The sequence below is a fragment of the Homo sapiens genome, chromosome 17 (assembly GCF_000001405.40).
Source record: "Homo sapiens chromosome 17, GRCh38.p14 Primary Assembly".
Lineage (NCBI taxonomy): Eukaryota > Metazoa > Chordata > Mammalia > Primates > Hominidae > Homo > Homo sapiens.
The window spans coordinates 69,264,517-69,288,663 of record NC_000017.11 but is presented as its reverse complement, the minus strand read 5'-3'; the positions used below and the strand labels follow the sequence as shown (position 1 = coordinate 69,288,663).

General features: G+C 34.7%; 1 protein-coding gene across 2 annotated transcripts in view; it reads left to right on the top strand.

The window, feature by feature from the left end:
• Positions 1-24,147, top strand: part of ABCA5 (ATP binding cassette subfamily A member 5) — an 82,823-nt gene that overhangs the window by 38,470 nt on the left and 20,206 nt on the right. For both annotated transcript variants that reach the window (NM_172232.4, NM_018672.5), the window contains 10 exons: positions 913-1,051; positions 2,353-2,443; positions 2,627-2,766; positions 4,592-4,711; positions 10,822-11,023; positions 14,536-14,705; positions 17,375-17,502; positions 17,914-18,051; positions 20,608-20,721; positions 23,759-23,929. In NM_172232.4, the coding sequence (NP_758424.1) occupies positions 913-1,051; positions 2,353-2,443; positions 2,627-2,766; positions 4,592-4,711; positions 10,822-11,023; positions 14,536-14,705; positions 17,375-17,502; positions 17,914-18,051; positions 20,608-20,721; positions 23,759-23,929 (1,413 nt within the window). The remainder of the gene's footprint in view (positions 1-912; positions 1,052-2,352; positions 2,444-2,626; positions 2,767-4,591; positions 4,712-10,821; positions 11,024-14,535; positions 14,706-17,374; positions 17,503-17,913; positions 18,052-20,607; positions 20,722-23,758; positions 23,930-24,147) is intronic.

Genomic DNA, 24,147 nt, shown 5'->3' with positions numbered 1-24,147 from the left:
GAACTGGCCTCAAGCGATCCTCCCGCCTTTGCCTTCCAAAGTGTTGGGATTACAGGCATGAGCCACCACGCCTGGCCTCCATGTTTTATTTCTTTAAAAAATGATCTGAAGAAAATGTGGCCAAAAAATAACATTGCTGAATTGGAATGGTAGCTATAATAGTATTACTCTCTTGTTCTCTATAGTTTAAAAAATATTTGTTATAGTTAATAACAAAAGTTAAGAAATAGAACAAAATCAAAGGAGTGATTCAGTTTATCACTGTCCTGCTTTGATTTTGTATGTATTTGTTTTATGCTGTTCTCTGTCATAGAAACAGAGAAACAACTGATGTACCACTTTACACAGGGCATCAAAACTGACAGGTGCATGCATGCAGCTAGGATGATCTCCTATTGATCCCCACCATCCTGCCACATTCCCCCTTGCTGTTGCAGCTGGGGAATGATTCTGGATCCTGGCTTTATGTTCATTAGTCTTCCTCTCAGCCACCACCACCATGTTCTTTTTTATATTAAAAATAGTCTTGAAACAAATTGCTTCCCTTGAACTACTATAAAACCATATATTCTTCTCCAAAAAAGCAAGTGTTACATCTACAAATTTAATTGTTAAGGATAATAGCAATATACTTAATGTTTTGTTTTTAGTTTGTTTGTCTGACTGTTGTTATACTTTTGTCTTGTGTATTACAGGCAGTCTTTTAGAATTAAACCTGGGAAAATATTCACATGTCAAATTTATAATTTTAAAAATTTATGTGAACTCAATTATGAATGAAAAAATCTGATCTAATATATTTCTGATTGAAAATAATAATTTGAAATGGGGCAGTTTTTTAGTGTCCACATGCCTGTTTAATATTTAGTTTTTCTGAGGATTCCCTGCCCTTCTTCACCTCTTTTCACACAGATACTGCTGCTAGATGAACCAACAGCTGGAATGGACCCCTGTTCTCGACATATTGTATGGAATCTTTTAAAATACAGAAAAGCCAATCGGGTGACAGTGTTCAGTACTCATTTCATGGATGAAGCTGACATTCTTGCAGGTGAGATTTTTGTTTTATTTTCGAAGGCTGAGATCATGGGCCAAAAGGAAGATGGATATAGAGATGCTAATTCCTGAGGTATAAATAGAGAAGCTTTTACCTAGTGGTATGTTTCCTTCACAAAAAAAGTTCTAAAAAATTTTAAAATGATACATTTTTGTGTTGAGAATCTCCAAGACCATCCCAGGTTTAGTGATGTCCTAGAAGAACTCATATGACTCAGCACATAGTCATACTCATGACTATGATTTATTACAGCAAAAGGATACAAAGCTAAGTTAGCAAAGGGAAAAGGTATATGAGGCAAAGTCTCGAGGAAACCAGGTAGAAGCTTCCAAGAGTCCTACTCCCAGTGGAGTAGACAGATGTGCTTTAATTTCTTCAGCATTGAGTTGTAACAACATGTGTGAAATATCTACTTGGGAAAGTTAGTATATACTCAGTGTTCAAGATTCTTATTGGGTGCTGATCACATAAACATCTTCTGCCTAGCACATACCAAAGTTCCAGATTCTCAGAAGGAAAGAAGTTGTTTGGCATAAACCACATTGTTTGTACAGTTTAGGCACTGAGCCACTCTTACCTGTTTTGAGAATAGTAGGAACCCTCCCAAATCCAAGTTCTCAACTAACAGCCAAGGGCCAACCTTGTAAGCAGGCCTTTCTAAGGATAGAAGCCTCTGACCTGCTATGTTAACTCTTTTCTGCACAATTTTATACACATACATACATATAAAGAATCCAAGTTGAAGTCAACACATGACTTTTAATAGCTATGACAGATATAGAAGTTTGAAATTCTTGAGCAACTTCTGTCTGCTTATAATATAATCTAATAAAATTGGGCAAGTCATTCATGTCTTCAGTAGTACCTTTATTTTTAAAAACCCAACAAACTAACATTTGTTCTTCTTATTACTTTTGTTGATTTTTGGAGTTGTTTCTACATTTGGTTATAAAGGAAATTGTGAAAGTGCTTGTATTGGTAAGCCTTTTAGGAAAAATATATTTGGAATAACATATGGTAAGTAGACTCTAGAGTCAGACTCCTTGAGTAGAGTTCCTGGCTTTGTTACTTAATAGCTGTATGAAACATATATAAGGAATGTATTTTCTTTTTACCTTAGTATTCATATCTGAAAAATAGTTGATGATAATCTAGTACCATCCTCATAAGACTTTTTGTGATGATTAATGATATCATAATGTGGATGACTCTCATATGAGAAACCATAAAATGTAAATGCCAATTATTAATGCTGTTGATACTTTAGAAATTGAAATGTAAATATTTATCTGCAGATAGGAAAGCTGTGATATCACAAGGAATGCTGAAATGTGTTGGTTCTTCAATGTTCCTCAAAAGTAAATGGGGGATCGGCTACCGCCTGAGGTATCATTCATTTTTATTGACATTATTCTATATTATACTCTTGCTATACTGTTATTATGTTGGAGGCTTGCTGTTATATGCTTTGACCATCATTTATGGTACTAAATTTAATTTAAAGCCTTCATAATTTACTTTTGGCTGTTTATTGTATAATCATTAATTGTGATTTTTGGTATTCTCTAGCATGTACATAGACAAATATTGTGCCACAGAATCTCTTTCTTCACTGGTTAAACAACATATACCTGGAGCTACTTTATTACAACAGAATGACCAACAACTTGTGTATAGCTTGCCTTTCAAGGACATGGACAAATTTTCAGGTATTACTTACTTTAAGTCTCTTGGTGTTTGAACTGGGATCCTATATTGGGAATAGGTTTCATTGATTTCCTTTTTGTTTCCTTCTCCATGTAGTATTGCCATGCTCCCAGGTGGCCAGAGTTAATATTCTGTTTCTGCTTTATTTTGTTTTTGAAAGCCAGAAAAAACACAGCAAAATTTTTTTTTTTACAAACACCATGCAAGAAACTGTAACTAATATATTAAATACTTAAGAAAATGTTAAAAAACGTAAAAATAATTGTGTTTACTTTGTTGTCAAGAAAAAAAAGAAATTGCTTGTAGGCCTCCTGAGAGTAAGGCATATATGTATATAGTTTATATACATTCTCAGGTTCTTTTATAGTTTCATGATTTCATAATGAATTATATGATAAATCCTTGAATTCTTTTAATTGAGGCATTATTTTTTAATTTTTTAATGAGGAACTCAAACTCAGTCTCCTTCCTCTGTTTAGGAATTGCTTGATAGACAAAAGGATGTTATTGATGTAAGTACATTGTGCAGAATTTTCATAGCATTTATCTCATAATCAGAAAAATACTTGTTTTTTTTTTAAAAAGAAATCACAAATTAAGTGGACTGAAGTACACTTGCCAACTTAATGCACTCTGCCTATCATTCTATCTACTTATACCCACCTATCTCCTATTCTTTAGTAACATTTATATGTGCTTATTTTCTACCAGATGCTGGTCTGTGCCTTTTGCAATTATTAGTTTATTTCATTATCCCAATATTTCAAGAAATACATGAGATAAATACTATTATTGCTTTCATTTTACAAATGAAGAAACTGAGACATAAAAAGATTTAAGGAACTTGCCCAAGGTAACACAGGTAGAAAGTGGTGGAGCTGAGTTTTGAACCCAGGCAAATCAGTTCCAGAACTCATGGTTTTCACCACCATACTTTGTTGTTGACTCTTACATTTCTTTGAAAAATTGTCACGGTATTTCACTGGATTTCACAGTGTCTTCTGGGATCTCCTGTAGGATGGACCGTAAGACCTCTTAAGGGAATTCATAATGTCAGCACTTTTTCTAATAATACCAAAATGTTATTTGCCTTATTGACCCTCAGCTTCTCATGATTATACAGTGTTTTCCAGAGACTGCATAATATGTGCTATCACAACAGATTGAATACAGAAACAAATATGAGAACCCATCTGTCTTCTGTTAAGACAGACATTAAAGAGATTTGCAGAAATGTAAAACAATATTCTCTTCTCATTATTTTTGTTTTAAAAGATGCAGTTTTTAAAAATAAAATTGTGTTAACCCGTAATAGGTTTACTTTTTTATTTTTTAAAAGATGAATAAGTATTTAAATGATTACTGTATGTTTTCTAATGTACATATTTATTTTATTATTCAATATAGTAACATTCTCAGTTTTAATTTCAAATACTGTAAAATTTTTGTTAGTTTATAATATGATATAGATATAATATGGTAATAGATATGATAATAGATATATTCCCATATATAAAATTTCTTTGAGGTCCTTAATTTATAAGAATGTTAAGCCTGTTACTTAGGCTGGAGTTCAGTGCCACAATCACAGCTCACTGCAGCCTCAAACTCCTGGGCTCAAGTGATCCTCCCACCTGAGTCTCCTGAGTAGCTAAGACTACAGGCTTGCATCAGTATTTATGCCTAGCTAATTTATTTTTATTTTTTGTAGAGATGGGTCATGATATGTTTCACAGGCTGTTCATGAACTTATTTTTAAAGGATATTTTACAATAATTTATGATAATATGCTTAAAGATATACTATTCTTTCATTTTTTTCTTTTAGGTTTGTTTTCTGCCCTAGACAGTCATTCAAATTTGGGTGTCATTTCTTATGGTGTTTCCATGACGACTTTGGAAGACGTATTTTTAAAGCTAGAAGTTGAAGCAGAAATTGACCAAGCAGGTAAAAACAGAACTAACAAAACATTTTAGGCAATGAATCAGACAGATGGTGAATAAGACAAAAATTATATAAATGTAATTTTATATTTTTTTTAGAATAAAGGGTAGAAATAAGTAAATAAGTAATGAGATACTGATAGTGATAGGAGTAATGCAGGAAATAATGGGGTGGTCTTAGAAGGCAGCGAACTTAGATTATATCATCAGGAAGGACTTTGTTGAGATGATACTTGACCTGAGGCCTGTATAATGAGAAAAATCAAGTAGGTGAAGATTTTAGGGCAGAAATTTTCAGATAAAGAACTGCAACTGCAAAGGTATTAACTGAGGAATGAGTTGGATGTCTTTGAGGGATAAAAAAAGGCTACCATGGCCGGAGCCATAGTGAAGCTATTACACAGCAAAGTCAGGAGGATACTCAAAGGGATAGATCATGTTCTGCCTTTGAACGTCTGGAAAACAATTTCATTTGTTTTCCTATTGTAGTGTGGAAGCTATCAGAGAGTTTTAAAGCAAATAGGTACCATGATCTGATTTGAATTTTTAAAAAAACACGTTCTGGTTGTTGAATGATAAGAGTATTATAAAGGAAGTGTGGAAGTAGGAAGACCAGTTAGGAAACTGCTATAGTTAATACTATCTTGAACTAGGGTGTCAGTGAAAATAGGGAGGCCGGGCGCAGTGGTTCATGCCTATAATCCCAGCACTTTGGGAGGCCAAGGCAGGGAGATCGCTTGAGCCCAGGAGTTCCAGACCAGTCTTGGCAACATGGCAAAACCTTGTCACAAAAAACACAAAAATTAGCCAGGTATGGTAGTGTGTGCCTATAGTCCCAACTACTCTAGAGGCTGCGGTGGGAGAATCACCTGAGGCCAGGAGGTCAAGGCTGCAGTGAGCCATGATTGCACCACTGCACTCTAGCCTGGGCATCAGAAGGAGACCCTGTTTAAAAAAAAAAAAAAAAAAAAAAAAAGGGAAAGAACAGATATTTGGGTTATACTGGTGGTAGTGGTGATGAGTTGCTGATAGATTGAGTGTTAGAGGCTCAGGAGAAGTTGGAATGAAGAATAATTCCTAAGCTTTTGATAACTGGGAATGAGATTGCCATTTCCTGAAAATAGGGGAAGAATAGGTTTGTGGAAAGAAGGAATGCAGGCATGAGTTTTTTCCTTTTTTTTTTTTTTTTTTGAGTCTTGCTCTGTCACCCAGGCTGGAGTGCAGTGGCACCATCCCGGCTCACTGCAACCTCCGCCTCCCAAGTCCAAGTGATTCTCCTGCTGCCTCAGCCTCCCAAACAGCTGGGATTACAGGCGCCCACCACCACGCCCAGCTAGTTGTTGTATTTTTTAGTAGAGACAGGGTTTTGCCATGTTGGCCAGGCTGGTCTTGAACTGACCTCAGGTGATCCGCCCGCCTTGGCCTCCCAAAGTGCTAGGATTACAGGTGTAAGCCACTGCGCCCGGCCGAGGCATGAATTTTGAGTATATTGTTTGAGATGCATCTGGAGTTAAATGAAGATGTTACGGCTGAAGATACAGATTTGGAAGTTACTCACAGGTAGATGGTGCTATGGAATTGGATGAAATCTCTTAGTTGGGTAAGGAGTGTAGATAAGAATTGAGGGGCAAGCCTCCTGGGTGAGCAGTGGAGAAGGAGCCAAGAGGGCTGACCGTGAATGAGCAATTATTACTCTACTTTTTCATGAAAGAGTGGAAATGGAAAAACCTAGAAAAATGGTGTTTAGGAAAGAGGAAGTGGTCAGTTATTTGTCAATTGCTGTGAAGAATAAGATGAGGACAAAAAAGGTAGTTTTGGTAACAGAGGACGGTGAGGGATTTGGTAGACTGTAAGAGTGGTGATCTTGACAGATCAATTTCATGATGCAGTAAGGAGCAAGGTGGATCTATTCAGTTTACGGTAAGAACATGAGTTGAGGAAACTTTCTTATGATCGAAGGTTAGCAAAATGTTTGTAGTGGCAGGTGAGGAGAGCAAAGGAAACCAGGATGTTAGTTCACAGTTGTTAAAAGAGTTGAGATGCTGCAAATACACATTTTGCATGAATGCCGAGTGGGTGATGATTAAAATCATTGTGATACCAAAGTCAAGAATCAAGCTGAATATATCATCATGAAGTAAACTTGCTTATATTATGCTAAAATAAATCTGGAACTTAAAATATTACTAGAATTTAATTATTCATGGTTTGGTAGTCAAATTTTAAAAGATTGGCCTTATTGTGTGGGAACAATAATTTGTCAGCATTGCTAACTGTAAAGTTGCTCCTGTAGTCCTACGTTTATGATACCAGATGCCCACTTTCAAATGCAGTGAGGAGAAGCCATATATTTTTGAGTTCTTAATTTTTCTTTTGTTATTATGTCTGGATCAAAGAAGATTTATCTGAAAATTAATGTATGTGATTTTGTAGTTTCTCCTTCTTTTGAAATTTTTAAATGATGAAGTGGGCATTCTGCTTTTAGTTCACCCTCACAAATTGTGGAAGAATCCACAATAAAACTTTTATATTGAAAGTGCGTGGCCTTAATGGAATTAAATAACTAAAAAAAGAAGCAAGTCTCCCAAATTTGTTTTAATATCTTGAGTACTAATATACTGAACCACTACATAAAATTAATATTATATAATCTGATTTCTTTTTATATTATTATCTAAATTAAAAAATACATGTATTGGCCCAAAAGTTATAATGTTCTTCCTAAAGTTATCTCACTAGTACATTCTCTTTAATATTTGCATTAACTGTTAATATTTTTCTGTGTTGAAAGTTCTGAATGTTTTTGAGTTTAAAATAAACCTCAATTGTGTAGTATTTTATTCTTGCCATTAAATAAATATATGTTTATGGTTTAATTGGTAGAATTTTATTTTTTTATTTATTTATTTTTATTTTTTTTTATTATTATACTTTAAGTTTTAGAGTACATGTGCACATTGTGCAGGTTAGTTACATACATATACATGTGCCATGCTGGTGTGCTGCACCCACTAACTCATCATCTAGCATTAGGTATATCTCCCAATGCTATCCCTCCCCGCTCCCCCAACCCCACAATAGTGCCCAGTGTGATGTTCCCCTTCCTGTGTCCATGTGATCTCATTGTTCAGTTCCCACCTATGAGTGAGAATATGCGGTGTTTGGTTTTTTGTTCTTGCAATAGTTTACTGAGAATGATGATTTCCAATTTCATCCATGTCCCTACAAAGGACATGAACTCATCATTTTTTATGGCTGCATAGTATTCCATGGTGTATATGTGCCACATTTTCTTAATCCAGTCTATCATTGTTGGACATTTGGGTTGGTTCCAAGTCTTTGCTATTGTGAATAGTGCCACAATAAACATATGTGTGCATGTGTCTTTATAGCAGCATGATTTATAGTCCTTTGGGTATATACCCAGTAATGGGATGGCTGGGTCAAATGGTATTTCTAGTTCTAGATCCCTGAGGAATCGCCACACTGACTTCCACAATGGTTGAACTAGTTTACAGTGCCACCAACAGTGTAAAAGTGTTCCTGTTTCTCCATATCCTCTCCAGCACCTGTTGTTTCCTGACTTTTTAATGATTGCCATTCTAACTGGTGTGAGATGGTATCTCATTATGGTTTTGATTTGCATTTCCCTAATGGCCAGTGATGGTGAGCGTTTTTTCATGTGTCTTTTGGCTGCATAAATGTCTTCTTTTGAGAAGTGTCTGTTTATGTCCTTTGCCCACTTTTTGATGGGGTTGTTTGTTTTTTTCTTGTAAATTTGTTTGAGTTCATTGTAGATTCTGGATATTAGCCCTTTGTCAGATGAGTAGGTTGCGAACATTTTCTCCCATTTTGTAGGTTGCCTGTTCACTCTGATGGTAGTTTCTTTTGCTGTGCAGAAGCTCTTTAGTTTAATTAGATCCCATTTGTCAATTTTGTCTTTTGTTGCTATTGCTTTTGGTGTTTTAGACAGGAAGTCCTTCCCCATGCCTATGTCCTGAATGGTAATGCCTAGGTTTTCTTCTAGGGTTTTTATGGTTTTAGGTCTAACGTTTAAGTCTTTAATCCATCTTGAATTGATTTTTGTACAAGGTGTAAGGAAGGGATCCAGTTTCAGCTTTCTACATATGGCTAGCTAGTTTTCCCAGCACCATTTATTAAATAGGGAATCCTTTCCCCATTGCTCGTTTTTCTCAGGTTTGTCAAAGATCAGATAGTTGTAGATATGCGGCATTATTTCTGAGGGCTCTGTTCTGTTCCATTGATCTATATCTCTGTTTTGGTACCAGTACCATGCTGTTTTGGTTACTGTGGCCTTGTAGTATAGTTTGAAGTCAGGTAGCGTGATGCCTCCAGCTTTGTTCTTTTGGCTTAGGATTGACTTGGCGATGCGGGCTCTTTTTTGGTTCCATATGAACTTTAAAGTAGTTTTTTCCAATTCTGTGAAGAAAGGCATTGGTAGCTTGATGGGGATGGCATTGAATCTGTAAATTACCTTGGGCAGTATGGCCATTTTCACGATATTGGTTCTTCCTACCCATGAGCATGGAATGTTCTTCCATTTGTTTGTATCCTCTTTTATTTCCTTGAGCAGCAGTTTGTAGTTCTCCTTGAAGAGGTCCTTCACATCCCTCGTAAGTTGGATTCCTAGGTATTTTATTCTCTTTGAAGCAATTGTGAATGGGAGTTCACTCATGATTTGGCTCTCTGTCTGTTGTTGGTGTATAGGAATGCTTGTGATTTTTGCACATTGATTTTGTATCCTGAGACTTTGCTGAAGTTGCCTATCAGCTGAAGGAGATTTTGGGCTGAGACGATGGGGTTTTCTAGATATACAATCATGTCATCTGCAAACAGGGACAATTTGACTTCCTCTTTTCCTAATTGAATACCCTTTATTTCCTTCTCCTGCCTAATTGCCCTGGCCAGAACTTCCAACACTATGTTGAATAGGAGTGGTGAGAGAGGGCATCCCTGTCTTGTGCCAGTTTTCAAAGGGAATGCTTCCAGTTTTTGCCCATTCAGTATGATATTGGCTGTGGGTTTGTCATAGATAGCTCTTATTATTTTGAGATATGTCCCATCAATACCTAATTTATTGAGAGTTTTTAGCATGAAGGGTTGTTGAATTTTGTCAAAGGCCTTTTCTGCATCTGTTGAGATAATCATGTGGTTTTTGTCTTTGGCTCTGTTTATATGCTAGAATTTTAACATAAAGTACGTAAATAAATTTTTATTCCAAATACATTTGGAATGTTTAACTGTAATTTAAATGAATATTAAATATTAAAATGAAATCTGAATGACATACCTTATTCACACTACTGAATTTGTTATACCTTTTAAGTGTTGTGCTAATAATCTGTATGATCACACTGTCATTGATCATGTACAACCTCAGTAATCCCAGGAAATTATATTGAAGTAGGCATTGGCTCTTAAACCTTCCAAAGACTAAAGATGAAGTTGAAGGGCAGAATTTGGCTGAAAACTGAGCCTGAGGCTAAATTTTAATTGAGAAGTAATGTAAAGCCAGGAGAGGACTCTCAAACATGGTGATAAGAGAGAAGTCTCGTGTATGATCAGGATATGATGCTAAGTTGTGGTCAGAGAGGAAAAGTTCACATAAAAGTTGGATATTATACAGATACAGAGATAATAAGATCTTAAATATGGATATGTATCCAGTTTGATTTTGAACTAGTGGAATTATACCATGTGTCTCCTTTGCATCTGTCCTCTTTCACTCAAAATGACATTTGTGAAGTTCAGCCATGTTGTTATGGGTACAGTAGTTTGTTCATTTTCATTGGTTTACACTATTCCATAGAATAGTGTTCTTGTTCTTAGTAGAACAAGAACATTCTCATGTTCTTGTACATGTGTTTTGGTGAAACCTGTATTCATATCTCTGTTGGGTTTATACCTGTTGGGGATCTCTTGGGTCATAAGATATACATATGTTCAGCTTTAATAGATACTGCCAGAATATAAGAGAGTTCCATTTGTTCCACATAACTGCCAGACCAATGCTTCTTTAAATGTTCCTGCTTCAGAAAGTTTGTATCTTTTTTAATGAACATACTGAAATGTTTGTTTTGTTTTGGCAAATAGATTATAGTGTATTTACTCAGCAGCCACTGGAGGAAGAAATGGATTCAAAATCTTTTGATGAAATGGAACAGAGCTTACTTATTCTTTCTGAAACCAAGGCTGCTCTAGTGAGCACCATGAGCCTTTGGAAACAACAGATGTATACAATAGCAAAGTTTCATTTCTTTACCTTGAAACGTGAAAGTAAATCAGTGAGATCAGTGTAAGTATAATTATCACCCTTATACCTGATGGATTGCTTTTTAAGGATACACATTGGTTTTACCATCTTAATTTTTAAAATGTTAACATATGTAAATAATTTATATAGTTTCGAAAGATTACCACTGTAATTTCACAATGTTAGAGAAAAAAATTACAATAATTTCATCGAATACCCTGTCTTACACTTTTTAAACTAGCATTTATTGTCTCATCTATAAAGTGAGGAAATAACAAATATTCCCTAATTGTATAATTTTTTAATTACTGTCATTGTATCTTTTTCTTTCTTTCACCTGGGAGCACAGATTCAAGTTTCCTTGAATATATTAATACACTCCCCATTGTATCTTAAATTTTGTTTTGCGTTTCTATTTTTTCGCTATTTTTTGCGTCTATTAGTTAGTTTTTATAACCACTTTTTGTAAGTAGCAGGAAAAATGAGTTTTACCTCTATTTATCCTATGAGGAAACTGAAAAATAAAGAAGGCTACATAGCTAGTAGATCTGGGATCAAAATGACATCTCAAGTTAGCTTTAGCCCTTCTCAGTTAGGTTCTCCTAGGGTACTAGGAACTGAATAATTTGGAAATAACATTAACCACTTTCATATACCACACACCTATCTTGTTAAGTCCAAAATGTCAGTAGTAATAAGGCTTAATCATTAAGATTAAGAATATTGTTATATGTTTGGAATATGCTAAATTTATATGCTCTTCTTTGACCAAATTCAGTGTCAAACAAATGTCAATCACGTATCTGATTTATTCCCTGGTCGGCATTACTGAAAGAAAAATGTTTATTTAAATCAGCATGTTTCAATTTATTTTATTATTTTTTTATACTTTAAGTTCTGGGATATATGTGCAGAACTTGCAGGTTTGTTACATAGGTATGCATGTGCCATGGTGGTTTGCTACACTCATCAACCTATCACTACGTTAGGTATTTATCCTAATGCTATCCCTCCCCAGTCCCAACCCTCCAACAGGCCCCGGTGTGTGATGTTCCCCTCCTTGTGTCCATGTGTTCTCGTTGTTCAGCTCCCACTTATGAGTGAGAACATGTGGTGTTTGGTTTTCTGTTCCTGTGTTAGTTTGCTGAGAATGATGGTTTCCAGCTTCATCCATGTACCTTCAAAGGACATGAACTCATCCTTTTTTATGGCTGCATAGTATTCCATGGTGTATATGTGCCACATTTTCTAAACACCACTCTCATAAAATACACTCAGAAAAATAATTAAAATACCATCTGGGCTCGGTGGCTCAAGCTTGTAATCCCAGCACTTTGGGAGGCCAAGGCAGGCGGATCACAAGGTCAGGAGATCAAGGCCATCCTGGCCAACATGGTGAAACTCCGTCTCTACTAAAAATATAAAAAAATTAGCTGGGTGTGGTGGTGGGCGCCTGTAGTCTCAGCTACTTGAGAGGCTGAGGCAGGAGAATTGCCTGAACTCGGGAAGCGGAGGTTGCAGTGAGCCAAGATCGTGCCACTGCACTCCAGCCTGGCAACAGAGTGAGACTCCGTCCCTGCCCCCCCGCCCCCCCAAAAAAAGAAAATTAAAATACCTTAGTCAGCTTTGACTGCCATGACAAAATACCATTTACTGGGTGACTTAAACAGAGTATTATTTTCTCACAATTCTGATGGCTGCAGTTCTGAGATCAGGGTGCCAGCATGGTGATGGCTGTCTTCCTGGCTTGCAGAAGGCCACCATCTCACTGTGTGCTCATATGACCTCTTCATGTACACTGGCATGCACCCTCTGGTGTCTCTTTATAAATGTACTAATCCCATCATGGGGACCCCACCCTCATGATGCCATCTGATGCAGATTACCTTTCCGAAGTCCCATTTCCAAATACCATCATATGGGAGTTAGGGCTTCAACATACAAATTTGGGGAGGCACAAACATTCAATCCATAACAAAATGTGTTCCATGGTCAAATACATTTAGAAAATATTACTCTTATATTCCCTATATTAAAGAGTTATTCATTAGCATAAAAAACATGAGATGTTCTCTGGTAAAGAAATTCCTTCAACTTTGTTTAACCTCATGTTTCCAAATATTATTTAATTGTGAATATTTTTTAACCTAAATCACTTCTTAACTTATTATGGAACTTGATCAATGCCATATGCTTTTGAAATCTTAGATATAACAATTTAAGAATTTTTTTAAAAAAATTACGGGGTATGTGAAATTTATAAATTGCTGAAGTATGATAATCTAAGCTCTCCAACTGCTTGTTAGGACACTTATTACATGTGATATATAGATATTTTATCAGATAAGTAGCTGCTCTTCAGATAAAAGGGCATTGTAGTATACCTTGCTTTGCCTCCTGAGAGCAGCAGTGGCAATTAATATGATAAAATTGCGATTAGGATGAGATTTCAAAGATATCAGCCATTCAGAGTTTAATTGTATTTTTATTTGCTTCTCTATATCTAAAATATTTTTCTTGTTACGTGAAAAGTAAATGGGGCTGGGTGCAGTGGCTCACACCTGAAATCCCAGCACTTTGGAAGGCTGCAGCAGCTGGATCACTTGAGGCCAGGAGTTTGAGACCAGTCTGGCCAACATGGCAAAACCCTGTCTCTACTAAAAATACAAAAATTAGCCGGGTACAGTGGCACATGCCAGTCGTCCCACCTACTTGGGAGGCTGAGGCATGACAATCGTTTGAACCTGGGAGGCAGAGGTTGCAGTGAGCCGAGATCACACCACTGCACTCCAGCCTGGGTGACAGAGCAAGACTCCATCTCAAAAAAAAAAAAAAAAAAAAAAGTAAATGGTTAAGATAGAGACAGGACAGGAAGTAATTCCTTCAGGAGTAGAGACAAATATTTGAGACATAATGTCTTGTGTTTTAACAGTTATAACTACGTGTTTACATACTCTTAGAAAAATTTAAGGGCATCACTGATCTAAAATACACTTTTATAACTTTTAATTTTGTCGTACAGTATTGGCTTTCTCTCCAGTATTGTCATAAGATCATTTTGGGGAATACGATTTCTTATTTTTTTTTTTCAGTTTTTTTTCTTTGTTTTTTTCAGTGATTATCTTTTAACTATCTAGAGTTTAAATCTATACCAATGTAGGCTGGTCAAGGTGGCTCACACCTGCAATCCCAGCACTTTGGGAGGCTGAGGCAGGCAAGCTCCTTGTTTGAGCTCAGGAGTTTGAGACCAGCCTTGGCAACATGGCGAAACCCCATCTCTATAAAAAATAACAAAAATTAGTTGTGTATGGTGGCGTGTGCCTGTAGTCTCAGCTATTTGGGATGGTGAGGGGAGAAGATTGCTTGAGCCTGGGAGGTGGAGGTTACAGTGAGCTGAGATCATGCCATTACACTCCAGCCTGGGTGACAGAACCAGACCCTGTCTCAAATAAAAACAAAAAAAGTCCATATCAATGTGAAGGGAGAGTTTTAATTGATTTTCATATTAATGTACCTTTGTACCCTGAGCTGTGTTGTTTTTTTTTTCTTTTCAGGTTGCTTCTGCTTTTAATTTTTTTCACAGTTCAGATTTTTATGTTTTTGGTTCATCACTCTTTTAAAAATGCTGTGGTTCCCATCAAACTTGTTCCAGACTTATATTTTCTAAAACCTGGAGACAAACCACATAAATACAAAACAAGTCTGCTTCTTCAAAATTCTGCTGGTGAGAGTGTGTGAAGGTCTGTGAACGAGTGTTGGCATGGAGCATGGGGTTGAGGGGTGGATAAAGGTCTGGATTTTAAAACTATATTTAAGGTAAAGGCATGGTCTGTCTGCATGAAATCTAAATTATAGTTCAATACGTATCTTATTGATGCTGAAGAATATATTACAGTAAATTTTGGTTTACAAATAAATGACAGTTTTGGCCAGGTGCGATGGCTCCCACCTGTAATCCCAGCACTTTGGGAGGCCAAGGCGGGTGGATCACCTGAGGTCAGGGGATCGAGACCATCCTGGCTAACACGGTGAAACCCCGTCTCTACTAAAAATATAAAAATTAGCCAGGCATGGTGGCACGCGCCTGTAGTCTCAGGTACTCGGGAGGCTGAGGCAGGAGAATCGCTTGAACCCGGGAGGCGGAGGTTGCAGTGAGCCGAGATTGCACCACTGCATTCCAGTCTGGGCAACAGAGGGAGACTCTGCCTCAAAATAAATAAATAAATAAATAAATAGTTAAAAAAATTTATACTTTGTATAATAGTAGAATTTCCTTTTTTAATAATAACGTTATTCTTACTAGCATGTTTTATGCTGATAAGTCCATGATGAGCAAAATATACTTCAAAAGTTGAAAAACCCTCTTTACAAAGAGTTGTAGTACATAATATTTATACAGGTATGTGTCTGCATAGAAGTGTTTTAATTCTTCAAGGACAGTCTGAAGAATTAGTTAAAACTAAGAAAAATAAGACTTAAATATAAATATCTCTAATTGAATATATTAGATTTGTAATGGATATTTTTGGCTTTGCTATTAGTATTCTTACCATGTAGTTGTCAAATATGAAAAAAATTTAAACATACAGACTTGAGCAAAGCTCAAAACAAAAAACTGACATAGTGTTCTGATTTTCAAAATATTAAAAGCTAATACAAACTTTATTCATATGTGATCAGTTGTTCCTATAACATCTCCTATTCTGTAGCAGACTCTTTGGGGTTTAACCTTTCTAACACTTCACCTACATTCTAGTATCATTCCTTTTTGATTCACTAATTCAAAAAAGACTTTGCCCAGTATTAAAATAATAAGCATGGCTAGGAATGATTATAAATTAGTATTAAAATAATCACTGTTAAAATCTGGTGCGTGTTATATTACATAACCTTCATTCTTTCTGGTAAAGATGTATTTATTGATGGATAAATGAGTGAGAACATGGAAAATTACCTGGAGCATGGAAAATTAATGGAAAATTACTCGAATGGAAAATGTTAGGTTTTGCAATTTTTTTTCTTTCATTAGGAAATTTCATTATGAATTCTCGTTTTGGTTTTAAAATACATTTTATATTGCTAATATATAATCCTTACACTGTGCTAATCTTGACATTTTTTATATGTGTCCAGGGAATTGTACATGTATCTCAAATATTTCTTTTTTTTTTAAAGGAACTTGGATTCAAATCATATCTTTTTGCTTTGAGTTAATTCTCATTGATCTGCAGAAATTCTAGTATTTTCAGTTTGTCTCTTAATTTTTTATTATTCTTAGAGTTGCTTGCTTATGCATGCCATATTTTCCTAAGCCTTGTGTGTGTTCCAAAATAAAACCACTTTTTTTTGAACCACTGGCCTCTGTGTGTATATATATTGGGTGGTATCTTACCCACCTTGCAGAGCTTTTTGTATCTCTTGTGCTGTGGTTCCTTCACTTATAATGTGTCTCTCTTCTCAGGGTACATAGCTGGTCTTGCAAGTTAGAGATAAGAGATCAGTTAAGGTACTAGGTTGGGAGTAAAGTAGTGTCACCATTCTCTATGACACTGAGATCTAGTGCTGTGTCTGATCCACCCTGCCATACTATTCAGTTACTAGTAATGTTTTGCTTTGTTTGATTTAAATTTCTCTCTAAAGTCACATTTGTCCTTCCCTGAATCCTGATTTTTGTTATGATGGAGGAGAAACTGCATCTATTCGGCAGACATGTTGGTATAGATTTAAATCCCGACAGGATTTAAAATCTTACTCTTGGCTCCAGGTACTTTAGAGAATGTAGAGATGTGATTATGTGTTTGAATATTTTAAGGTAGTTAAGGCAATTGACATGTCTGCCCAGAGCCTACAAAAAATTCTCTAGGGAGTGATGTTACCACACCTATACCTTTCTGAACTTAGCAGGTTATCTTGTTACCTAAAATTGTCAGATAGATTTTTATTCTTATTATTTAACCAAATTTCATGTGTTATAGGTTAACTTTTCAATGTTAATAATAGTTGTAGCAGCAGCAGCAGTGGTGGCAGCAGCAGCAGCAGCAGCTAAAATATGCGCAGTTACTATGTGTCAGGTTCTAAACTCTGTGTATATATTCAGTCATTTAATTCTCAGGATGATCACTCTACCTATAAGGCAGATATACTTATTTTACCCACTTTACAAAAGAGGGAACTTAAGGTCCAGAACATCTAGGTAACTTGCTTGAAGGACGAATAGTTTAATGTTACAACTCAACTTTAAAACCAGGCTGACTGGCTTCAGAGCCAATGTACTTACTTGCGTATTCGCTAATGAAAATAAAATATTTCTCTAAAAATAGAATTATCTTCCCAGTGTTACTAAAAGCCTCGTTTAGACTCATTTTTTATTATTTGCTTATTTTCTAACACCAGACTCAGATATCAGTGATCTTATTAGCTTTTTCACAAGCCAGAACATAATGGTGACGATGATTAATGACAGTGACTATGTATCCGTGGCTCCCCATAGTGCGGCTTTAAATGTGATGCATTCAGAAAAGGTAAGATGAATGCAGTGAATGAATATCCATTTGGGAGTTATGCAAGATTAAAACGTTTCTTCTAAAATTAATTATTTGTTGATTTGACCTTATGAGTTAGAAATTAGATTTTACTTTTGGAAATAACTAGCTGTCTTTATTTATGATATATTTCATTACTTCACAGATGACCAATATATAAAGTTACAGAAATTTAGTTTTTTAAAAAATTATATGCTTGTTTAAAATATTAAAATATCTGTACATTCCAAACCAGATTGTCTTTATCTGTCATTGAGTATTATTTCTGTGAGTTGTTGAAGCAGTTTTTCTGTATGAGAATTAGCTTTGTTGGTGAGAAAAGCTTGGTACATATCAATAATATATCCGCTTATATACAGTATGTAATAAGTGTCTTTTTTTTAATTGTAGGACTATGTTTTTGCAGCTGTTTTCAACAGTACTATGGTTTATTCTTTACCTATATTAGTGAATATCATTAGTAACTACTATCTTTATCATTTAAATGTGACTGAAACCATCCAGATCTGGAGTACCCCATTCTTTCAAGTAAGCCAATGTATATACAGATAAATTTCCATATGCATGTCATATATATAATAACCATTAAAAACTAAGCAAAAATAACAAAATATGTAGAAATTTATCTTGTGAGATCTCTTAGACTTCTTAAAACTCAAGTGAGAAACGGTTTACATTAAGGTTTAGGATTCCCCAGTAGAAGTATGTTTCAGGGTAAAGGAGATTCTGTTTTGGTATTAATATTTGTATAAGGAATAAGTGTGTTCTATATTGATCATAGAATAAAATATAAGATAATTTTTAAATGAATATTTTTTACCTAAAATCCAGGTATTGGGTATTGAAAAAAACTTGAGAAGTCACCCAGGCAACCATTTTTCCTCTAGATAGAACTGTTGGATTGTACATATCAGAATCAAGATTACAGAAAAGTATCCAACATATTTTCTCTTAATCCTTTTGATTTTCATATGCTAAAAAATAAATGGACAAATATCTGTAACAATATTTTCTATCTTCTTCTTTTCATACTTTTAAAAACAGCTTCATTGAAATATAATGCCCAATCAACCTGACCATTATTCAAAGTATACACTTCGGTGTCTTTTATTATGCTTATAGAGTTGTGCAGTCATCACTACAGTCAGTTTTAAATATGCCATCACCCCCCTCCAAAAAAAATAACCCTTATACTCATTAGTAATCACTCATTTCCTCTCATACCCACTCCCAACCCTAGGCAACCACTAATGTACTTTCTGTTTCTATGGATTTCCTTATTTTAGACATTTTATATAAATGGAATCATACAGTATGTAGTCTTTTTTGTCTGCTTTCTTGTACTTAGCATACTGCTTTGAAGATTCATCTGTTTTGTAACACGTATCAGTGCTTCATTTATTTTTACTACCAAATCATATTTCATTGTGTGGAATGTATGGAATGTTTATGTGAAATACTGCATTCTACTTATCTGTTCATCAGTTGATGGCATTTGGGTTATTTCCACCTTTTGGCTATTATGAGTAATGCTTATGAATATTTGAGTAGAAGATTTTGTATGAGCATATGTTTTTATTTCTCTTGGATATATAATTAGGAGTGGAATTGCTAGATCATCTAGTAACTCTATGTTTAACACTTGAAGAACTGCCAAACTGCTTTCCAAAATGGTTGCATCATTTTCCATTTCCAGCAGCAGTGTCTGTGGAGAGGTATCTCATATTATGAAATATTTCAAACGTACAGAAAACGAACCACCTACTATCCAAATATTTCAAATGTTAATATTGCATAATATTTGTTTTTAGTAAAACTTTTAAGACACAGGTGAAAACTCATGTTACCCCTCTCCAATCTTGTTTCCTTCTCTCCTCCGTAGGAGTAACCGCAATTCACAATTTCACAATTTGTAATTCCCATACGTGTTTTTTTGATGTTACTACATATGTCTGTATCCATAACTATTACACAAGATTTTACAACTTACAATTTTCAACAACACTGACATATAATCATACTATATTTCGAAAGAAATACATGGGAGTTTTTGAAGCTAACTATTCATATATAGTCGTATTAATATTTCAAATTTGTTTCTTCATTAGATTCTGTATGATTGGATCCAACTGTAGTCTCATTCATTTCCACTTCTTGCACTACTAGTCTACATATTTGTGGGTTCTTTCTGAGCCTCCACTGTCATATTACGAGAGTTTCAGACAAATTCTGCAATGTCATATGACCTGAACTTTGGAATTGACTTAATTGCTAAATAGGAAAACTCAGAAGGCTAGGTTTCAGCAAGACAGTGATGTACTCTGTCTCTATGTCATCCCATGGAGGGGTGTGCCAGTGCGAGGGTATCTGCTAGGCACTGCGGATTCTATTCCAGTGCAGAGTACCTTCTCTGTCCCACGGGTCTGTATTCTTATAGAACAAGGGGAGGAAACTGACCTTGGTGAGGGTGGCTGATAATATAGTATCCTTGGACTTGGGTAATCTGCATTTGAAGTGCTAGCTGTTTATTGATTGTCTGGGAAAGTTAGCTGACTGCACCTGGATCCCTGGGGAAGCTAACGACATTGGGGCCTGTGGGAGTTAATTCCTCTTCTGCTTGGGAGAAGAAGTTCTAGTTCCATAGGAAGCTGAGCTTGGATATAGCTTTTCCCAATTAAAAAGACAAGAGCAACAAATATCATTCTTAGATATTTATTATTATTTCATAGGACCACTATGGTGGACATACTAACTGCTTTTCAAATACATCATTCATTTTTATGAAATTGTGAAGCGTAATTTATATGCCTGATTATTCTGTGTTGTAGACAGGAAAATGAAAGTAAAATGATTTGCTTAGGATCAGATAGTTATTAATAAGTGGCAGAGTTGGTAATATTGTCCACAACCACCTGTTAATACATCTGCCACTCATTCTTTCATGTAGACTATGCCTGGGTTAGATATTCTAATACATTCTTTCTGAGGTTTTGATTTTTTTTTGATATAAGATATATCCTAAGATATATCTTAAGATATAAAATGATTCTCAGTTCCATTTGTTACTCTGTGGTTGTCTTTCAGGAAATTACTGATATAGTTTTTAAAATTGAGCTGTATTTTCAAGCAGCTTTGCTTGGAATCATTGTTACTGCAATGCCACCTTACTTTGCCATGGAAAATGCAGAGAATCATAAGGTAATGACTCAGTTAAAAATATATAATTTGCTAATAAGAAGTGTCATATAAAAATAACCTATTTGCTTGATTGCAAGGCTTAGTATAATTGTTATTTCAGAAATAAGTAAATGGAATATAAATACATTTATTATAGTTTCTTATTGTAATAAGTGATAATTAATATTTATTATTTGAGACTTGCTACATGCTTTAAAAATTATATTCTCTAATTCTCACAACATTGTGAGGTAAGTTTTTTGTTACTGATTTCTTATAGATCAGGAAATCAAAGATGGGATTGTTCATATGACTTGCTCAGGTTGACTCAACTTGTTTAAATTGTGGATTTGGGAAGTGACTGTGATCTTTATGTTCTTAACTGGCAAACTAACATGCCCGTCCCTTTTATCCTTTAACAGAGGTATTAAGTAGTCAAGGTGCTAAATTCTTATTAATGGAAAAAAAATAGATGAAAGTGATTGTCATCATTAGGGCCTTGGAGAAATTGCTAAGTATACAGAGGTTCTTTGGTATTCTTTCACTTTCTTTTTACGCCTTTCCCTTTTGTTTTCCTTCAGGCATATAGCGATCTTGTACAGTCTTTGGTTGTTCAAAGCCTCCCACTTTTTCACTCTGCTGAGATTATATCTTACTGCTCTAATAAAAATTCTGATCTTCTTCATGGATGATCTTAATTCAGTAAAAACAAATTTGTCTAAATTAATTTACAGACTGTGATGAATAATGAGCTCATTATTTTAATAAATTCTAAAAAAATAAATTGTAGGCCAGGCGTGGTGGACCACGCCTGTAATCCCAGCACTTTGGGAGGCCGAGGTGGGCGGATCACCTGAGGTTGGGAGTTCGAGACTAGCCTGACCAACATGGAGAAACCCCGTCTCTACTAAAAATAGAAAAAAAATTAGGGCGTGGTGGTGCATGCCTGTAATCCCAGCTACTCAGGAGGGTGAGGCAGGAGAATCACTTGAACCCGAGAGGCGGAGATTGCAGTGAGCCGAGATCATGCCATTGCACTCCAGCCTGGGCAACAAGAGCAAAAACTCCATCTCAAAAATAAATAAATAAATAAATAAATAAAATAAATAAATACATTCTAATAAAAATTTTGTTATTTGTTTACTATAAAAGTAACACATATCTCTATTTTTAAAATAATATTCAATTTTTGTTAAATATACTCATTGTAGTAATGTATAAATTATAGAAAAGTATAAGGAATATAGAAATCCATAACCCACTGCACAATAATAAAATTTACTGGACATTTGCATTTTCTTTCTTGTTTCAACTGAAACATTTTTTTTCCAATATAAATTTTTTATTTTTATTTATTTATTTTTTAATTTTTTTATTTATATATATATATATTTTTATTATACTTTAAGTTTTAGGGTACATGTGCACATTGTGCAGGTTAGTTACATATGTATACATGTGCCATGCTGGTGCACTGCACCCACTAACTTATTTTTAATTAAAGTTTCTATTTTGAGATAGTTGTATATTCATGTTTGTTTGTTAGAAATGACAGAGAGATCCTGTGTACTCTTTACATTTTGTCCCAATAATAACATCTCGTAAAATTATAGTACAATGTAACAGGGTATTGGCATTGACACAGTCAAGATACAGAACATTTCTGTCACCAAAAAGATTCCCATTTTTTGCTCTTTCCTAGCCTCTCTGACCTGTGGCAACCACTACTCTGTTCTCTATTTCTGTAATTTTGATAGTTCAAAAATGTAAAATGGCATCACAATAAGTTTTCTTTTGGGATTGGCTTTTTTCAAATAGCATTTTTTTTGAAGTTCATCCTATTTGTATTTATCAATAATCCATTCCTTTTCATTGCTGAGTAATATTCCATGGTATGGATACATCACACTTTCTCTAACCATTTGCCTGTTGAAGAACATTTGGATTGTTTTCCGTTTTTGGCTTTTGTAAAGTTGCTGTGGACATTTGCATACAGGTTTTGTGTAAACATCATTTTCATTTCTCTGAGATAAATGCCCAAGAGTGCAATTGCTGAATTATACATGTTAATTTTATAAGAAATTGCCAAATTATTTTCCAAGATGAGTGTTCCATTTTATGTTATCCCTACCAGCAGTGTGTGAATGACAAAAGTTTGAATTATCCAAAATAATTGCATTTGCCTTAGCTTATGTTTTTATTCTTGTATTAGAATTTACATGTGTCTCATGTTCTCATAATTCATTGAACAGAAAACTTGCCAATTTTGTTCATTTCTCCTCTTCTTAACTAATCTTTATATTTCATGCTTCCTTTATCTCTGTGGACAGCTCTTTCATATAATACCTTCAGTTATTAGGAGTAGATATTTTTATAGATGACAAAAATCAACTAAATAAAATTGTTAGGTATTTGGATTTATGAAATATTTTAGAAATTTCAAATTAAATGAGAACATGAGATAGGAAAACTATGATCATTTGAGTTTACCATTAACAAACTTGTGACGTAAATAACACCTTAGATTTATATGCTATACCAGTGTACACAAAAGGCTTTGAACATTTCAAAAGCTTTCACTTAAGCTGAAAGCCTTATGTAAATCCAAAGGATACTTGGCAATTTATTAGTGTTTTTATTTATGAAAGGTTCATTTTTAAAACTGAGAATTCTTTTTCTGTGTAAACATGTCTTCCCATCTGTTTCCACAGTATTTCAAAAGTAGTAATGTTTTGGCTATTTATTATTTGTATAGCTGTAACCCCAACCGCCATGACACCTTTTGCTTTATTTTAATCTCAGTTTCTTGGCAGCACTACTGTATTCTGATTCTTAAAAATTTTGTTGAAATTGTTACATCTCAGAAATAATGAGCCAAATTAAAGGCTAAATGGAATTTGTATTTAGTGTGAGGGGGACTTTTATTACCTATAAGCCTGGAATGTAACCTTTTTGGTTTTGCTGATGTAAAATTAAGAGATCTACAATAATTTACTAATTTATTTGTGTGTTTCTAAAGTGTCTAAAATTATAATAAATTGTTTTTCATTTTTTTTAGATCAAAGCTTATACTCAACTTAAACTTTCAGGTCTTTTGCCATCTGCATATTGGATTGGACAAGCTGTTGTTGATATCCCCTTATTTTTTATCATTCTTATTTTGATGCTAGGAAGCTTATTGGCATTTCATTATGGATTATATTTTTATACTGTAAAGTTCCTTGCTGTGGTAAGTTAACGTTAGTTGTACTCATGCTATTTATAGATAGAATGTTATTTAAAATCTGTTATAAACATGACAGTTGACTTATTGCATAATTTGGTTATTAATTTGTTAAAGAAAATAGAGCAAGTGTGTCTGGTATTTAATACATGTAATCATTTTATATGATAAGTGACTTTTAAAAACAATAACTTACCACCATTTTAAAATAATTTCTTGAAACT